The sequence below is a fragment of the Homo sapiens genome, chromosome 5, assembly GCF_000001405.40.
Source record: "Homo sapiens chromosome 5, GRCh38.p14 Primary Assembly".
NCBI classification, from domain to species: Eukaryota; Metazoa; Chordata; class Mammalia; order Primates; family Hominidae; genus Homo; species Homo sapiens.
The window spans coordinates 67,178,750-67,196,812 of NC_000005.10; the positions used below are offsets into that span (position 1 = coordinate 67,178,750).

General features: G+C 43.0%; 1 protein-coding gene across 3 annotated transcripts, besides 2 other annotated features; it reads right to left on the reverse strand.

Annotated features, from left to right (window-relative positions):
* Nucleotides 1–863: 863 nt before the first annotated feature.
* On the reverse strand, nucleotides 864–18,050 carry CD180 (CD180 molecule). 3 transcript variants are annotated; one of them, XM_005248504.5, is made up of 4 exons: nucleotides 17,803–18,050; nucleotides 12,186–12,342; nucleotides 7,102–7,268; nucleotides 864–5,836 (listed from the first exon to the last, which is right to left on the reverse strand). In XM_005248504.5, exons 2-4 carry the CDS (start codon nucleotides 12,234–12,236, stop codon nucleotides 4,108–4,110), a joined length of 1,947 nt encoding a protein of 648 aa, XP_005248561.1. In that variant the 5' UTR covers nucleotides 12,237–12,342; nucleotides 17,803–18,050; the 3' UTR covers nucleotides 864–4,107. The 3 variants fall into 3 exon arrangements, with proteins under 3 accessions (XP_005248561.1, XP_047273134.1, NP_005573.2); XM_047417178.1 differs by lacking the exon at nucleotides 17,803–18,050 and adding an exon at nucleotides 13,717–13,817; NM_005582.3 differs by lacking the exon at nucleotides 12,186–12,342.
* Nucleotides 14,859–14,958: an enhancer, noted in NCBI's record as "active region_22623". NCBI's record gives its function as "activates an Ori minimal core promoter by ATAC-STARR-seq in GM12878 lymphoblastoid cells {active_cell/tissue: GM12878}" and the evidence as "EXISTENCE:reporter gene assay evidence [ECO:0000049][PMID:35858748]".
* Nucleotides 16,874–17,023: an enhancer, noted in NCBI's record as "active region_22624". NCBI's record gives its function as "activates an Ori minimal core promoter by ATAC-STARR-seq in GM12878 lymphoblastoid cells {active_cell/tissue: GM12878}" and the evidence as "EXISTENCE:reporter gene assay evidence [ECO:0000049][PMID:35858748]".
* Nucleotides 18,051–18,063: the final 13 nt, after the last annotated feature.

The window sequence follows — 18,063 nt, forward strand, 5'->3', positions numbered from 1 at the left end:
CTGGTGGCCACTTGTCCTCTGCTTACCTTTGCAGGATCCAGCCAAGTGCTCAGAGAACATTAACCAAAGATGGGGAGGATTGGAGGACGGTGTTCGATGAACTTCACGAACTTCACTGCTTAATCATTCATGAGCAATAACAGCTTTTAAATAGAATATGTAGATTAATTCTTGCCTTTATCAAGTTCCACAGTATTCAATAAATGATTTCAAATTGTCAATAGCTAGGATAAAGTGCAGTGGGTGAGAGTGGGTGGGAGAGCAGGGTGGCTTTAGGAGCAGGGTCTTGGAGGATGGCGGTGACGGCAGAAGGGACTAACGAGCCGCCTGACCAGGACGTTTCACCCCTGGATTTGAGGGTTCCTTAGCGCTTTTTCCCCATTTTGTTAAGAAATTTCCTCTTATGGGATATGGAGCAATTCTCCAGCTCATTTGACTCATGGGGCCTAATATATACTTCTGCTATTGGTTGATAACATTAAGATAAGGGAAGTATTTTACATGGCTGAGAGTTCAGGGCCAATCCCACTCTCACAGAATCCCAATATCTAGGGGTGAAGCACAGGAATCTGTTTTGTAAAGAAGTCCCCCGATTATTCTGATGTTAAACTAGAACAGCCCACTGGGCTTATCCATTCCTCCACAGCCTTCAGGCTAACTCCCACCATGTTACACCTTCATACTCTTAACATGTCAGGCAATCAACTCCAGCCCAACACTTGGGACCCCCCAGTCATGACTTGCTAAGAAACAACCACATCCCCTCTTGCTATAATTCAAGTTTCTATTCAGCATTCAGGGCCAAACAATGTCAGTTACCCCTCTTGCACACTATAGTAATATAGGAAAACATTCAAGAGCCATTTGTTTCATACTTTTATAAACATCAAAATTGCAAACTACACTGATTGGAGAGTTGGACAAATAAGAATGGCACGACAGTTTTCTGTCTTGGAATTTTACAGATATTGCCTGTGTTCAAGGGCTGTGCTGTACTAAGCAGTGGCTGCTGGCACAGGGAAAGGTGTAATTCTCTCCTGGGTTGTAGGAGTTGCAGCTCATGCAGAGAGTCCTCTGTGATGGAGGCCAGTCAGCTTTTATGGACTTCAGTGCTATTTGCTCCAGTACCCTTTGAAATGCAGGGTCAGCTCACTGAGCTACATCGTGCAATAATAACACATTTTTATAGGAGTAGCTTGTCAGAGCAGCAACAACATGCAATACATAAAACCAATAAACACACCATGTTACAGAGTCTATCCTAGTAAACAGGTTAAAGCAATAAAATTGACAGCAGCCATCAACAAGCTCCCTTTCTGACTTTGTGGGGTGAATTTACTGTTGCTTAAAACAGAGGAGCTGTCACAAAGCCTTAGATCAGTTACGGAGCAGCAAGCTGCATCGCATGGAAGGGAGCGGGCCTGAGAAGTGAAAGCAGGATGGGCAATTATGCTTTGCTAAGGCCTGGGCCCCTTTCATTGTTAGTGTGATGTAATTCACATCAGAGGTTTTCTACAGAATTGTTTCGTTTTTCCAAGTTACATATTAAATATTATGGAGGGCAGTATGTCTATGGGTTGGTAAATCAGCAATTAGTATTTTCCATCTGCAGCTTAAATCCCTAAGGCAAGAAAGAGCTTACCTGTGACAGAATATGCAGGGACTCAATGGGTTGGTGCTGTCTAAGACTGGATTCTTAGAGTTTGGACCTTCCACATTTTACATGGAATCATTTGGCTGGGAACCCTGAGCCAACCTCAGTCCAACAGAATCTCAGTATCTGGGGGTGAGGCCTGGGAATCCATTTTGTAAAAACTTCCCTAGGAGATGCCAGTGAAAAACATGTGGGAGGCCCAGGAAACCGTGGAGAGGTCAGGAGCTAAGAGTCAGCAGCATAGGCATGGTGGCAGAACTAGGAGCTAATAAAGGCTCAGGGATCAGCACATATTAAAAATATATTGAATCTTGGCCGGGCACGATGGCTCTCATCTGTAATCCCAGCACTTTGGGAGGCCGAGGCGGGCAGATCACTTGAGGTCAGGAGTTCAAGACCAGCCTGGCCAACATGGTGAAACCCTGTCTCTACTAAAAATACAAAAATTAGCCAGGCGTGGTGGTGGGCGCCTGTAATCCCAGCTACTCAGGAGGCTGAGGCAGGAGAATCGCTGGAACCTGGGAGGCGGAGGTTACAGTGAGCCAAGATTGCACTATAGCACTCCAGCCTGGGCGACAGAGCAAGAATCAGTCTCAAAAAAAAAATTATATATATATATACACACACACATACACACACATACACACACACACACATATGGAGAGAGAGAGAGAGAGTCCTTACTATGTCCCAGGCATGTTCTAGGGTATCTTTAGGCAAAGACCCTCTCATGGCACTTGTATTTGGGAGAGACAAGACAAGAGAAACTAATTAAAACAAATGAAGAAGTTAATTCCAAACACTGATAAGCATTATAAAGATAATAAAACCAGGTGAGGCATAGAGGTTGCTTTGGATTAGCTAGGTCAGAGAAGAAATCCCTCAAAGGAGAAAATATTAGCACTGAAATCTCAAGATGAAGGAAGGAGCCATTTGGAGGCCAATGGCAGCATCTTAGAGGCAAAGGAAAGAGCAAGTGTGAAGGCCTGAAATCCCTGAGCAGAGAAGAGGTTCACCCACTGCTGTTCCCTGCCTGCCCTGCTTTTCCTGGGGGCGAAGAGACAAAAAGGATGACCCCCAAGTTTTCACTCTGTTATGATGTCCCACTAGTATGCCTTCAACTTAAGGACTAATATATTCTGATTGGTTGGATCCATTTTTATTTTGTTAGCTTATCAGAATTTCATAACTATAAGTTACCATCTCTATCTCTACCCTAAAATTGGTTATTGAACAGAACAATGCACCACTTGAGTCCAGGAGCTCCCGCCAAGCTTGTCTGGCAATCAAGACTTCAGAAGATACAGGCCTGTGTGAGTATGGCCCTTTAAGCCTAAGTCATGACATTGCTCTTTGTCTATCTGCATTCAGTGGTTCAGGCCCCTGTCCATGGCTGGTGTGACCTTTGGTGACATCCCCAGCCTCAACAGAAACCACTTCTCACTAAGCCAGCTTTACTGTGTTCCCAACAGCTAGCATGCAGGGATGCCTTCTTCCTCATTTTCACGTAAATGTGCTAATTCAAATGCTCTCCGAAGCAAATAGGCTTTTAAGGGCAAGCCTGAGAACCAAACCACGATTTATTTCACAGTTCTTCTGGAAAAGAGACTTCTAAGAACCGGATGCCCAAATGAGAAGAGCATTTTGGGTCACAGCCCACCTGCAAGTTAGGATCTGTAACATAAGAGCCAGAACACCAGATAGGCAGAGAGAGCCTGCCTGGTTTCTGAACTGAGTGAGGCAAATGTGGAAGAAATTCTAAACCTTGGGGGTGGGTTCTATTTTTTATAGCCATTCACACCCTAGGGGCATTACAGAGACCTTACAGACCTAAGGATTAAGAAGATTAATGGAGTCGATTTGATACCAAGTTTCATTTCTCAGCCTTTTCTTTTAAATTTATTATGCTTTTCTTTTCTTTTTTCATTTAAAATAAGGATTGAGACTTTGTCCCCAAGTAAGTTTCTCAAATGGCTACATTACTGAGAACCCAGACCCAAGCACAATGCTGTAGTGGGGGTGGGTAGTGGGCTGGCTTCAGCTCTGACAAATTGTGGGGGCTGATGATCTCCTTTCAGGGGCGGGGTGTGTGGTGCTGGGAGGGATGTCGGTGAGTAGAAGGGGAATGGCCTCCCTGTGGGAGACTCCGGGGCCGGCAGTCCCTGCCCAGTCCCTCCCTCTGCTTCCTCCCACTCTTCCACATGCGGAAAGGGCTCTGTGCCTCTCACAGCAGCATCTGACCCTCTGGACTGAGTCATTCGGTGTACTTGCCTAGAAGGTTCTTTAGCTCTGGGACTCACAGGAGTAAGAAGCTCAGAAAAGCACAGTGAGTCCCTGCCCAGTTCCAGGAAGCAATCTGAAAAGTCTGGTCTGGTCACCAGCAGATGACAGTTCTTTCACTTAGAGCAATTTTGCTAAGCACACTTATTTGCTTTCTCTGGAAACCTTCAGCACTAAATGTGTTGGTATTTCCACCTGAGAAGGTATTTAACTGCAAAAAATAGCAGAATAGCCAACAATAATAGAAATACTATGAGAAAGAAAATGCCTATGGCTGTAATCCCACAGGAAAGCTTGACATCAGATAGCTTAACTCCCCTTAGAGATGGCGGGTTTGCACACGTGGTCTCCTCCGAGCCTTCAAGTTTGTGCAGGTTTTCTTTGTACCATGTTAAGAAATGAATATTCGAGCAAGTGCAGTCCAGGGGGTTATGACTTAAATTAATGGTGCTCTGCTGGGACAAGATAGGGAGGAGACGGGGTGAGATGATGTTAATGCTGTTGGCAGCCAGATTGAGGTAGATTCCCTTAAGATGGCTAAGAGAATCAATGCTGTCGCATGTCAGGCTGTTGTGGCTTAAGTCTACATGGCTCATTTTTCCCAAGCTGTGGAATGCTTGCTGGTCTATAGAGAGGAGACCACAAGAGGACAAAATCAGAACCTCCAAGCTGCCCACGGTCTGAAGTAGGTTGGTCTTCGTGATAGTCCCATCTTGAAAGTGATTCCCTTTTAAGTTGAGATGCCGGAGAACTGGTAGGCCTGCTAGAAGATGCTGATTGCTGGTATCAAGGAAGCAGTAAGTGAGATTCAGAACCTGAAGGAAATGGAGGTTTTGGAAGGGACTTTGTGGAGCATTAATGTGTAAGCGGGTAAATGCCAAATCGAGGAGTTCTAGCTGAGGACATTCTTTGAATGCCTGACTCTGGAGACCAAGAGGCTCATTGTGGCTCAGGTTTAAGGTTTGCAAGTGGGACAGGTTTTTGAGTTGCAGACTGCAGCAGTCAGAAGCCTCTATGTCATTATGGCTTAAATCAAGTGTCTGAAGGTTTCCTAGTTTCTCCAAGCAGCCAACACCAAGGTGAAGTTTCTTCACGTTGCCTCTGATGTAGAGGTGTGTAAGGGAGGGGAAATTGGCAGCACTGATTTGACACAATTGATCGAAATGATTTACACTGAGAACTAATTTCTTGAGCAAGTTCAGACCCTTCATCCCAGAGGGTAACCCTTTCAAGTGAGTTGCTGTCAGATCCAATTCTTGGAGTTGGGTGAAGCACTGAAATGTGGTGGATGAGATGTCAGAGAAGCGGTGTTCCTGCAGGTTGAGGCTCTCAACAGACATTTCACAGAGTCCCTTGAGCATGGCTGAACTAATATCTTCGTCATCAATGTCCTCAAATGTTCCCAGCCAGAGAGACTGAGTAGTAGAGTTCTGCAGACCATTGAATATAACAGACAAATTTGGAGTTCCTCCAAAGTTCAAACTTTGGAAGATCGTTGAATCAAAAGCCCCAAGCTCAATACCTTTAACATTATTGCCATTGAAGTTCAGGCTTAGGTTGATGGCCTGCTCCAGAGACCTCATGTCTTCTCTAGAGATGTAGTGTATAGCATTATTCTGAAAATCCAGTACTTTCAGATTCCGTGCTGGGAAGTCTTTGGGGAACTTAATGGAGGAAATATGGTTGCTTCCAAGATACAAGCTTTCCAAGTTTTCCAGATTGTGCACTGGAATAAACTCGAGATTGGATATTCCCGTTTGGATTAAGAAAAGATGCTTCAGTGACTTGGGCCCATTAAGCGATGTTTCTGCCATGAATATCAGGGGATTTCCAGTTAACACAAGTGTGCTTAATTGATGATGGCTTTGAAAAGTGTCTTCATGTATCCAGTTAATCTGGCACCTTGAAAAGATAATCGTATTTAACAATAATTCATTTGAAAAAAGTAAAAAAATACTTTACAGTGACACACATTAACAAAGTCATCTTTTGTATCATTCAAAATCAAATATAAGAACTTTCTTCAATATCAACAGATGGCCTATTGAAGGAATTAATGAGTAGCCTCACTTCTGAACACGCCAATCTAGATTTTTTTTCCAGGTATCTCACCCCTTAGATTGAACCCTCAGAGGTTTGTGCCTGTATTCTAAGGAACCATGGGTCATTTGATTGTGGCAAAAATCAAATTATTATTTACTGTTTTAAGTAATACAAAATATATCATATAGAATGCATAATAGATAATATATGGTATAAAATACATATATATATACACACACAAAAATCTGTGTCATCCCGGGCAAGTTACAACTTTTCTCAACCTCTGTATTTTCATCTGAGAAAACCATCCTGGTATTGCACCTAAAAATACTGGATCACACACACACACACACACACACACACACAGATGGCCTCCTCATCTAACCATAAGTTGGATGATACTACGCACCATGGAATCTCACACTGGTGCTTTTAAAGATGAAGCGGTAGTATGGATGTGGACATCCTGTCCACAGAAGCTGAAGTTGAAGGACAAAATAGAAGAAGTAGAACTGCCGCAAAGGGTGCAGACTGCAGGTACACGCAGAGCCTGTCCCCTCTTACACACACACACACACACACACACACACACACACACACACGCAGTATAGCCCTTTCATTTTCTTCCCTTATTTTCTTGTAATACTTCTTCCTACTGGTTCTCAAACACTGGCTCAGCATGTGGAATCCCAATTATGCCACTATAACAAAATAATGGAACTCATTTTCCAATTTGTAGGGGGGAAAAGTAGATGGTGTGCTTTTCTCCTAGAAATTTTTCTTAAATGTAATTACCCAAAAATAAACTATGCCAAAATTTAGCATAGTTTGGCATCTGATTTAGTACAAGATTATTTTCATTTTTGCTATCAGTATTCCTTAGAACTGCTTCAACAGTGCTATTGATGCAACTGGTTTGAGAGCAATCCATTTTCCTCTCCATTGGTTGATGTTTATTTAAATTACATTTCACCCACATAGGAGTATTTCATGGGGAGGCATAAACATGTAGTATAAGCAGATTGTCCCTGGGCCCCCCAAAAAGGTCCTGCAAATAAATTAAGCACATACTGTATTTTAACTTAAATAAAATAAAAGAGCACACAAATAACTCAGATACATACCTAGTTAAATCCAAAAAGGTAAGATTCATGAGTCTGCTGAAGGTTCTATTGTGAATTGTAGGCAAAAAATTAAAGCTGAATTCCAAAAATTCTGTTGTGTTTGGTAGAGTGTCAGGGATTTCACTGAGACCTAAATTTTCACAGTTATATGTTTTGTTGGCTTCTTTCTGATGGGAGAAACAAAGTAAATTAATATTAGACTTAATAATTTTATAGACTATCTAGCAAAATTATATATGTTTTACCTTCCGAGCGGCAATCGTACTTCTAGTAATCTTTACCAAATATACACTTGCCAAAAACAAGATGATGAATGCACATTGTTAACTGTAGTACTTTTTTTGTAATAGCAAAATTGACAATAACCAGACTATTCATCAATATAGGACTACTTGAACAAAACATGGTACATTCACAAAATGGAATCCTCTAAAACTGAAAAAAATAAAAAAAACCCTCCATATATTGATATGGAGTGATATCTGGGATATATTTCAAGGTGAAAAAAGCAAAATGCAGAACAATATATGTAGTGTATATAGTATACAGTATGTAGTATAATGTACAGAGTATGCCTTTTGTGTAAGAAAGGTGTGTGTGAATTTTCTTATATTTGTTAAAACAAACCATGCAAAAACCCAAAAACTGATTGCCTTTAAGAAGAGGGAAGAGACCAGATAGAAGAGCAGGGATAAATGTGAGACTTCTCTGAATGCACTTGGTTTTACAGTTTTGATTTTGGTTGAATGGAAATGTTTAATTTCAGTTTGAAACAAACAAATCGACCTTAGATAAGCATCACCAAAATAAGACAATCAAACATTACATACTTTCGTATGTGAGACAATGTGAGGTATACAGCATTGTCTATGAAGTATTCTTGCCAAAAAAATAATTAAACTTTAAACTCATCAAGATTTTAGGTTTAACTTCACATCTCAAAGTGATATGGTGGATTTAAGTGGGACATTCTATGGAACAACTGACTTTGTTCTATCTGTGTGTGTGTGTGTGTGTGTGTGTGAAAGAGAGAGAGAGAGAGAGAGAGAATGAGAGAGGAGATAGTGCTTGTTAAAAGATACAGAGATATAAGATCTACTTAAGAGACATAACCATCAAATAATACAGTAGACCTCATTTAGATCCTGATCCAAATAAAGCAGTTCAAAAAGGCATTTTATAGACTGTCAGGTAATTTTGAATGAGGACAGTATTCAATGATATTAAGGAATTCTGGATTTTGTAAATGACAGTGGACTTGTGGTTATTTAAAAGAAATGTTCTTATTCTTTTGAGAAGCATATTTAAATATTTAGGAGTAAAACAGCATGATGCTGGAATTGGCTCTAAAATAATCTGGCAAAAAAGGAGGAGAGGAATGCAGAGATGAAGTGAGTAGGCAAAATGCTTATGATTGTCGAATATTGAGATTCTTTGTTACTATTTCTGTATATGTTTAACATTTTTTTCTTAACACAGTGCTTAAAAAAACTAGCAGGGTGGCATAGACCTGAGGCCTTGCAATCTTGAAGTATGAATTAATTTTAGATCTCTGTATTTGTAGGCTGCTGATACCAGACAGTAGGCTTTTGGGCAGAACCCTACACATAAGTACAGATAACTTCCTCATCCTGTGCCCCAGGGTAGTCATGTATTCTGAAGCCTGCCAATCATGTCCTAATACAAGTTATGTGTTGAACTAAGTAGGTAAAAATGGGAAGTGGTTTTTTAGAAGCCTGTAGAACTGTGGGGTCATTATTTATCTGGCTAATGCTTTAAGATGAAGGGTAGTGGGGAAAATAGGAAGGTCTGACAGGGCAGGTATGAAAGTCTGATGGAGTATATTTTGCCTGTGGAGTCTCCTTGGAAAGATATGAAGGAAAGTTCCTGCTATGCTTTGAATATGTCCTCCAAAGTTCATGTGTTGAGAACTTAATTGCCATTGTAATACTAAGAGGTGAGGCCTTTGGGAGGTGATTGGATCATGAAGATTCCACACTCATGAATGAATTAATACTATTATTGCAGGGTGGGTTAGTTATCGCGGGACTGGACTCCTGATAAAGCAAGTAAGTTATTGGGTGGCCGAGGTAGGCAGATCACGAGGTCAGGAGTTCAAGACCATCCTGGCCAACATAGCGAAACCCCGTCTCTACTAAAAATACAAAAATTAGCTGGGCGTGGTTGCGCATGCCTGTAATCCCAGCTATTCAGGAGGCTGAGGCAGGAGAATCGCTTGAACCAGGGACTCAGAGGTTGCAGTGAGCCAAGATTGCACCACTGCACTCCAGCCTGGCCACAGAGTGAGACTCTGCCTCAAAAAGAAAAAAAAAAGATTGGGGGTAAGTTAGGCCTCCATTTGCTCTGTCCACATGCTTGCTTTCACCTTCCTCCATGGAATCACACAGCAAGAAGGCCCTCACCAGATACCAGAGCCAGGCTCTTGGACTTCCTAGCTCCCAACTATGAGAAATAAATTACTTTTCTATACAAATTACCCAGGCTGTGGCATTCTGTGAAGCAGCAGGAAACCGACTAAGACAGTGACCTTGGAAGCACAAGAACAAGGACATCCCAGGACCTTGGGCCAGCTCTCAGATCATCTCAGGCTCCAGGTGAGTTCATTCACCCTTCCAGCCCCTGCCTTTCCTTGACACATAGGGGTTCACCAGAAGCCCCACTGAGACTTCCCTAGGCTGGAAAAGATCTACTCTGTTACGGACTCCAGATCAGTGTCTTTTCTTATGCCGAGTTACAAACAGATCTGCTTAGTGAGAAACAGAACTGCACACATCTTGCTTTGCTTTGAAGCAGGAGGCTTTTGAGATGTCACCATTGTAACCTCATTTTCTTTCACTCCAATTTCTGCTTAGCGATGCACTTTCTTGTAGCCACAGACATGCTCATCTGCAGAAAGTCACCAGTTTTCTTTGATATTGTGACAACATTATAACTGTCACTGATGAAAATGCTTTATTTATATGTCCTTGTAATTTATTCTTCATTTTATAGACCCAAAGTCCTCCAGGCACTGCCACAAATCCACATAATGTCCTTGAAATGCACACTTCGCATTTAAAACTTAGATTTAGCTGACTGGTGGGGGAAAAAACCACGTGTTGCCAGACCTATCCTCAGTGCCCATGAATATGGACGACCCAGAGAGAATATGTATGTGCAGCTGCTGCCCCAGTAGTTGCAAAGGTGCTGATTAGCTTAGAGGAGACATTTTGCTTTTCTCGTCTCCTTTGGCATAACTGATGTCACATACGGTTGGAGAAAAGGGACTTCCTCAGTTTGTCTCACTCTATTCCGGCCCTACAGCAAAAGGCTCAATGCTGTCATTTCCCTCCTTCTCCTGAATATATAAGTGCCCATGACACCTAAATTATTCTGTGCCTCAGCCTTTTGTGTGCTTTACTAAGCACTTTACTGCCCTAATGTGATGCAGAAGATTGAGAATCCAGGAGGAGCTCTGCTAAGCCAGTGGCCTGAGTGAGCTCCTTGAAAATAGAAAGCAGGTAAATGAAGTAGCTTGGTTTCAACCCAGTGAAAAACTGATAACGAGTGGATGACGCTACCAAGAGGATCAAGGAGGCCACCATAAGCCTGTGCCATAATATTGAATCATCTCTGGTTAGGTGGAAATGGCAATAGATCCTGTGCCTTTGATTTCTAGGAGAAAGAGGCAAGTGACAAGAAACACAGCTGATAAGAGAATTTAGAAACCAAACACATTTTAGAGAATGTCTAGGGCTCAGCATACACGTAGCCCTTCCCTTATAGCTTTTATAATCACAATTGTATCATCAAAATGGCCACGATGATAGAGGCACCAAAGCACCACATGCTCTGGAATTATCTAGGAAGCATTAGATTGTTTTCAGACTATTGTAATTTTTTAAGGCAAAAGGTACACACACATGCACACACACACACTATTCTTCACATTCTGTTTGATTGAGAGTACACTACTGACATCATGACCCTTAAGCCCTATACACCAATGTTTATATATCCTAAAAACAAGGATATTATATGACTATAGTGCCATTATGAAATTCAAGATATTTAATATTGATACAATGTAATTATCCAACATACTGTCTATATCCAAATTTTGCCAATTGTCCCATTATTGTTCTTTATAGTAATTTTTGTTTTTCCAATCCAGGATCACACATTGCATTTAGTTGTTATATCTCCTTAGACTCCTTTAATCTGAGACAGTTCCTCAGCCTTTGTCTTTCACAACATGAATGTCCTTTGAAGAATGCAGGCCTATATTTTGCAGAATGTCCCAGTTATGGGTTTGTATGTTCCTCATAATTTGACTCTGGTTACACATTTTTGGTAGAAATACTGCATTAGTAAGGGTGTGTCATTCTCCCTATCAATATTCAAATGAAACATTTTTGAGCATGAGTTCTGATAGCCAGGGTTCCAGAACAGCACAACGGTAATGCAACAGAGAGTGAAAGGACAAGATGCAGAGAAGGAACACTGGGCCCCAGCAGACAGCATGGCCACCGCCAGGACCACGTGCTTCTGTTACTTTTTCCAGGCAGACACCCACTACCATTGCAGTTTCTCGGATCTCCACATGACCATTTCCTATAAACCCAGCCTTCTCTTCCTAGAGAAGTCTAGAAATGTGGTTAATTTCCAAAGTCCCTTTCTCACCTCTCTGCTTCTGCTGGCTCCAGTGCAGATGGGACTTCTTGATGTGAACTCACACAGCGAGTAGAGCTGTGGCAAGGCCACGTGGTATTCATGACAATTGCCTCATGCCCATCACTATTCTAAGTCAAGGGGCATTCGCTTGGGACTCACTGTGCACTGGGACCTGTGTCATCTGCTTTGTCTCCAGCTCTGTCTCAGACCTGTGCTCCCAGAGCTACATCTGTATTTGCAATCCCTTTTCCCTCTAGGTATTCATTTGCATTTTCTCAATCAGGCTCTTATTTTCCTCCCTTCTGCTGTATATCTAACTCCCTCTCATCCCACTGTATTTTCTTTCCTTGCAAGTGTTGAAACATTTTCTAATTTGGAACTCTGAATTTCACTCAAGTGCTTATTCTCACCTTTTCGGATTTCTCATCTGCGCTTGACACACGCAGCAGCCACCTCCCCATGCATCAGAAGTCTGGGACACTGACCTCCAACGCTTCCTCATTAAGCATGCCTCCATCCAAGATAGAGCAAGTCGACTGAGCCAAATCCCAGAGCAACAATTAGTCTCTGAAAACAAAACAAACACTCCCTAGAGAGCACATTCCTGTAACTTCATTGTCAATCTGATTCCTCCAGGCAAAGGGCATTCCAGTTACATGCACTTTATTTTCTGTTTGTCTGTAAAGTCAGACTGCTTGGGTTCAAATCCTAGCTCTCAACCACCAAGCTGTGTTCTCTGAGCCTCCCTTTTCCTCAAATGTAGATTGAAGTTAGGAACTTCGCCTTGCAAGTTTACTGTGAGGATTAATGCGATAATGTGTGTCAGCACTAAACAAGAAGAGTTAGCGTTTAACTGGATCATCACAACCTCACATCATTATCGAAAGCTATTGGGAAGCCCTTGTGTCTATGAACTTGGAGTTCCTTTCAAAAAAGAGCTCTGCTAACCAGTCCCCATCCCACACCTAGGGACTGAAGGGCTCACTTCTATCACAGTTTTGAGGGAAAAGGATGGCCAAGCTGAGCTCACTTGAAAAGGGGAGGCATGCCCACATTCCCAAGTAAATATTTCAAGAGTGCATCTAAAATGATGCCACAATCCAAATCACAGAACACGAATTCCAGCTGTTCTTTGCATATTTATCAGCTTCCAAAGACTTGATACGGGTCCTAATATTTTTGCTTAAGTCACACATATATAGGGACACAAACATTCACAGAGAGAGAGAGAGACAGAGAGAGAAAACATGTAGCATTTGACAATGGAAGAATCTATGTAGCCTGTAGGTGTTCACTGTAATAGTCTCAGAACTTGTAGGTAGGTTTGGATATTTTTCCAAACAAAAAGTTTTATTTAAAAATTAATCTTGACTCCTACTTGTATGTAAAAAACAAAAACAATTTTGATCCATCTAAATGTGAAACCTAGAAATAGCAAATAAATACAAAACAATAAAGCTTCTAGAAGAAACATGGGATAATATCACGGTCTTGAGGTAGGCAAAGATTTCTTAAACAGGACAGAATTGTACTGAAAATACAGGAAAAAAATAAGTTGAGGTATATTAAAATTAAGAACTTTGGGGCCGGGCACGGTGGCTCACGCCTGTAATCCCAGCACTTTGGGAGGCCGAGGTGGGCGGATCAGGAGGTCAGGAGATCGAGACCATCCTGGCTGACAAGGTGAAACTCCGTCTCTACTAAAAATACAAAAAAATTGCCAGGTGTGGTGGTGGGCGCCTGTAGTCCCAGCTACTCGGGAGGCTGAGGCAGAATGGCGTGAACCTGGGAGGTGGAGCTTGCAGTGAGCTGAGGTCACGCCACTGCACTCGAGCCTGGGCGACAGAGTGAGACTCCGTCTCAAAAGAAAAAAAGAAAGAAAGAAAGAAAAAAGAAACAGTACTGCGTAATTTATAAAGAAAAGAGGTCTAATTGGCTCACTGCTCTGCAGGCTCTACAGGAAGCACAGTGCTGGCATCTGCTTGGCTTCTGGGGAGGACTTGAGACGCTTACAATCATGGCAGAAGGCAGACGGGGAGCAGGCACGCTGCATGGTGAAAGCAGGAGAGAGAGAATGACAGAGGAGGTGCCACTCTTTTCAATGACCAGATCTCAGGCTCAGGAGAACTCATTATCACCAAGACAGCACCAAGCTGTGACGGAGCTGCCCCCACACGCCTCCCACCAGGCCCTACCTCCACCACTGGGGATTAAAATACAACATGAGATCTGGGCAGGGACACAGATCCAAACTATATCAGATCCCAAGTGGCAAACTGGGCCTAAATTTTAAATACAGCCGAGCAGCCACTTGCTGACTAGAGGTCACACATGTACTCTGAGTTTCTGAAAACCCCCATCTCTGTTTAATTTTGGAACTTTCTGATCTCACCTGAACCAACCAATCAGGGCTCAGCTTTATCAACCAGTCAGGGTCCAGCTGCACCAACCGATCAGAACTAAGCAAGTTTGAATCCTTCTGCTGCGTAAATGAATTTGATTGGGAAGCTGAGTGGGAAAATTTCTCTCTATGGAGGCCAAGTTCCTCATTTGTTCCCTGGAATGCACCTTCCAAAGGCTACGTGCCAAAGGCCGTGTCTCCTCAGTTTGCGAACTGTTCATTGGAATAAAGTCTCCTTCGTCAAATTCCACCTCAGAGAACTTTTATTCACAGGCTTAATAGGGTAATGGCAGTCACATGAACATGCAGACATTATGTGGTTAACTATGCATGAGCTGAAGGGGGAAGAAGAAAAGAGGAAAGGAAAGCAGCTTGGAAGGGTGAGTAAAGTTCGGGGTAATTTACCCTTGAAAAACGGCCAAACCCTTAAGTCAAAAGCAAGAGTTTATTCTTTTAGCCACCCCTCCTTTTATCCCTTGCCAGCAGCCTGGAAAGTTCCAGAATCTCAGGAATAAGTTCCATTTTTCTTTGCATCCCCCAGCTCCCTCCCTAGTATCCACACAGTAGCAAGGGCTCCCTAAACAGCCTTCGAATCTTGTTCTTGAGAACTCACTCACACGTGATAGATGAAACAAAAGAAAATACAGATCTGATGCTAACTGAATAGCTGACAAGGTCATTTAAAATCAGACTTCTTTCAGAGGGAGGGCTGCAGGAATGTTGTTGTATTGGAAGGTTTCAGTTTCATCTGGCTTATCCAAAAAGGAAAGACTTTGCTGCCACACAGGGCTAGGCTTGCAGGCCCTAGAACACTGAGCACCACTCCTGAGACATGAATAGCACTGAAGGCCCCAGAACAGGCAGCCAAAGGACTAGGGGGCCTCCCGCTGATGCAAGGATTTCAAAGTTAAACTTGTAGGTGTATAAGAGTGGGGCATTTAAAACAGCCTGCTTCCCAATGAGGTGGAATTAAATGGTGATGTTATCCTATTGGAGGCTGTCTCCTGGAGGTGATAACCTATGTTCCTGATCACTGGGGGGATGGTGCCCTTATTCCTACCCACTTGTCATGCCTCCCAAATGTCTGTATGACATTGACCTGAAACCACCTTTGCAAAATTATGACAGCAAGAGAAATATGACATAGTTGACTCCATCTTACTTCTAACCTCCAGTTTCTCCTTGGTCATTCCTGGGTGTAGACCAAGCTGAATTTGGGATGAATTTAGTTTATACTTTAACCTTAAAGCAAGGATGGTAATAGCCCTTCTTAAAACAAAAGCACCTTTTTAAAACTAAAGAAAGGTCACCCGTTAGGATTATGAGAGGGGCTTGAATTTGCCTAAGATGTTGGCATAGTTACTCCTTACTGTTCAGGAGTCATGTGGCCAGAGGTCACAAGATTTGTGACTTCCCCAATTACTCCTGTAGATAACATCTATTATAGAATCTAAGATTTTTTTTTGAGATATCTTTCAGACTAACCCCACCCAGACTCCTGACTCACCCCATCCTGCGGCCTCACCCAGAGGTGGACTCAGAACTAAGGACCATTTTCCAAAACCTTATGACTTCTTCCCCAACCAGTCAACATTTGCCATTCCCGTGTACCCTGCCCACCAAACTATCCTTGAAAACTCCTAATCTCCAAGACTTTGGAGTGATTGATTTGAGTAATAACTCTGTCTCCCACCTGGCGTGGCCAGTCTCACATCAATTAAACTTTCTTTACTGCAATGCCGTAGTCTCAGTGGATTGATTTTGTCTGGGCAGTGGGCAGGAAGAACTTGTCAGGCAATTACAGACCTTCCAACCTGAAGGGTGAGGGGACAGCCTTCTGGGGCTGATAGAAATGTCTTACTCTTCTCCTTCTGTTATGGGCTGAATTTTCTCTCCCCCACCACCAAATTCATATGTTGAAGTCCTAACCCACAGGACCTCAGAATGTGACTGTATTTAGAGACAGGGCCTTTAAAGAGGTCATTAAGGGAAGCTGAGGTCATATAGGTGGGCCCTAATCCAATCTGACTGGAGTCCTTAAAAGATGAGGACATTTGGACAAACAAGAAGACACCAGTGCTCATGCACACAGGAAAGGCCATGAGAGGACACAGAGAGAAGATGGCCATCTGCATGCCAGGGAGCGAGGGTGCAGAAGCAGCAAACTCTGCCAACACCTTGATCTTAAAATTCCAGCCTCCAGAACTGTGAGACAATCAATTTCTCTTGTTTAAGTCACCTAGTCTATGGTATTCAGGGTTTTTTTGGTTTGTTTTTGTTTTTTGGTGTATTTTTGGTTTGTTTGTTTTAAGACAGAGTCTTGCTCTGTCGCCAAGGCTGGAGTGCGGTGGCACAATCACGGCTCACTGCAACCTCTGCCTCCCGGGTTTGAGTGAGTCTCCTGCCTCAGCCTCCCGAGTAGTTGGGATTACAGGCATGTGCCACCATGCCCAGCTAATATTTGTATTTTTAGTACAGATGGGGTTTTGCCATGTTGCCCAGACTGGTCTCGAACTCCCAGTCTCAAGGCATACACCCACCTTGGCCTCCCAAAGTGCTGGGATTATAGGCGTGAGCCACCACGCCTGGCCCAGTCTGTGGCATTTGTTATGACAGCCCAAGCAAAGCAACACACACCTTCCCAGCCTTCATTTCTCATTGGCATGATGCCTCCTCTTGGCCTGCTGCTGATTCCATCCTAATGCCAGACCAACAAGGCTCTGCTCACCCAGCTCTGAGCCTTACCCCAGTGCTGGCTTTGCTCTGCTCTTCCTGATCCTCTGATCTCCTTCTAGTCCTGCCCCAGGGCAACTCCACATCTGGCTATTCCTGGCTCTTACTCTTCTTTTTACCTCAACCCAGACCAGCAGCTCACCAAGCCACCAAGACTCATGGTTCCTCCTGTATGCAGCCCTTGTCTGACAGGCCACGTGGTATTGATCACTTGTGGGGTCAGAGAAAGTGGGAGGAAGTTTGAAGCATTTTAGAGGATGGCAAGAGACGGAGGCCCTTCTCCTTTTTCTCTCATTATCCCCTCCAAGAACTTCCCACAGGTTGATAAATATTGCTATGGTCCAAAACAGAAGGTGCAATTTGGCTCTATTCTCAGATTTTCCTCCTATGGGTTAGTAAAACAGATGGAAGGCTGTCCAAGTCCAAGAGAGAGCCAGACTCATTCAGAGTGATCTTTTCAATGCTCGAAAACCTGGCACAGCGCTGTCTTTACTAATTCTCACCCTGAGAGGAGACCAAAGGACTCATTGGGATAGAGGCCATGTGAGAGTGGGGATGTTAAACCAACAGCTCCCCTAGGTTGAGGCAGGTTTAGGGGTCTGCTTTGTGCACACAGACCCTATTAATATCTTATGACCCACTTGGGATTATTTGGGTGGAATTGTTTGAAGAGGAGAAAAATTCTCTTTGCTTCCTATTAAGATGCCACCAGATGATCCCCTGGCAGAGTTCTTTGGCTCCTTTCTCACAATAATGAAAAAATTATATATACACCTTATTTCCTTTTTAAAGACACTAGATATTGGGATGCCAAGGCTCAGATTGGACTGCGTGCTAAATCTCAAAATTTTCAGACAGTTTAATCTGCATAAAGACAAACAGTTTGGACTCACCTCAATGCACATCTGATCCCAGGAGGTGATGACTTTACAGCCGGCAGAAAACAGCACCACCCAAAAGAAGCAGCTGACGTCAAACGCCATCACAGGCTAGGATTGCTTGGTGGGTTTACCTAATGCTTGGAGCTGAGAAATGGAATCAAACTGTGAAGGCCCTGGCAATTTGGCAGCCAGAGAGGTACTCAGAAGGGTGATCTTGGAACAAGAAATGCTGTTGACTGCTCAGCATTCTGTGGCTCTGTGCTGGAAAAAAAA

Coding starts and splice junctions, on each gene's coding strand:
- CD180 (NM_005582.3), bottom strand. CDS start 17,892: ATGGCGTTTGACGTCAGCTGCTTCTTTTGGGTGGTGCTGTTTTCTGCC. Junction 7,269..17,802: donor GGGATCAGATGTGCATTGAG/GTGAGTCCAAAC, acceptor TTCTCCCATCAG/AAAGAAGCCAACAAAACATA. Junction 5,837..7,101: donor ACCTTTTTGGATTTAACTAG/GTATGTATCTGA, acceptor TATCTTTTCAAG/GTGCCAGATTAACTGGATAC.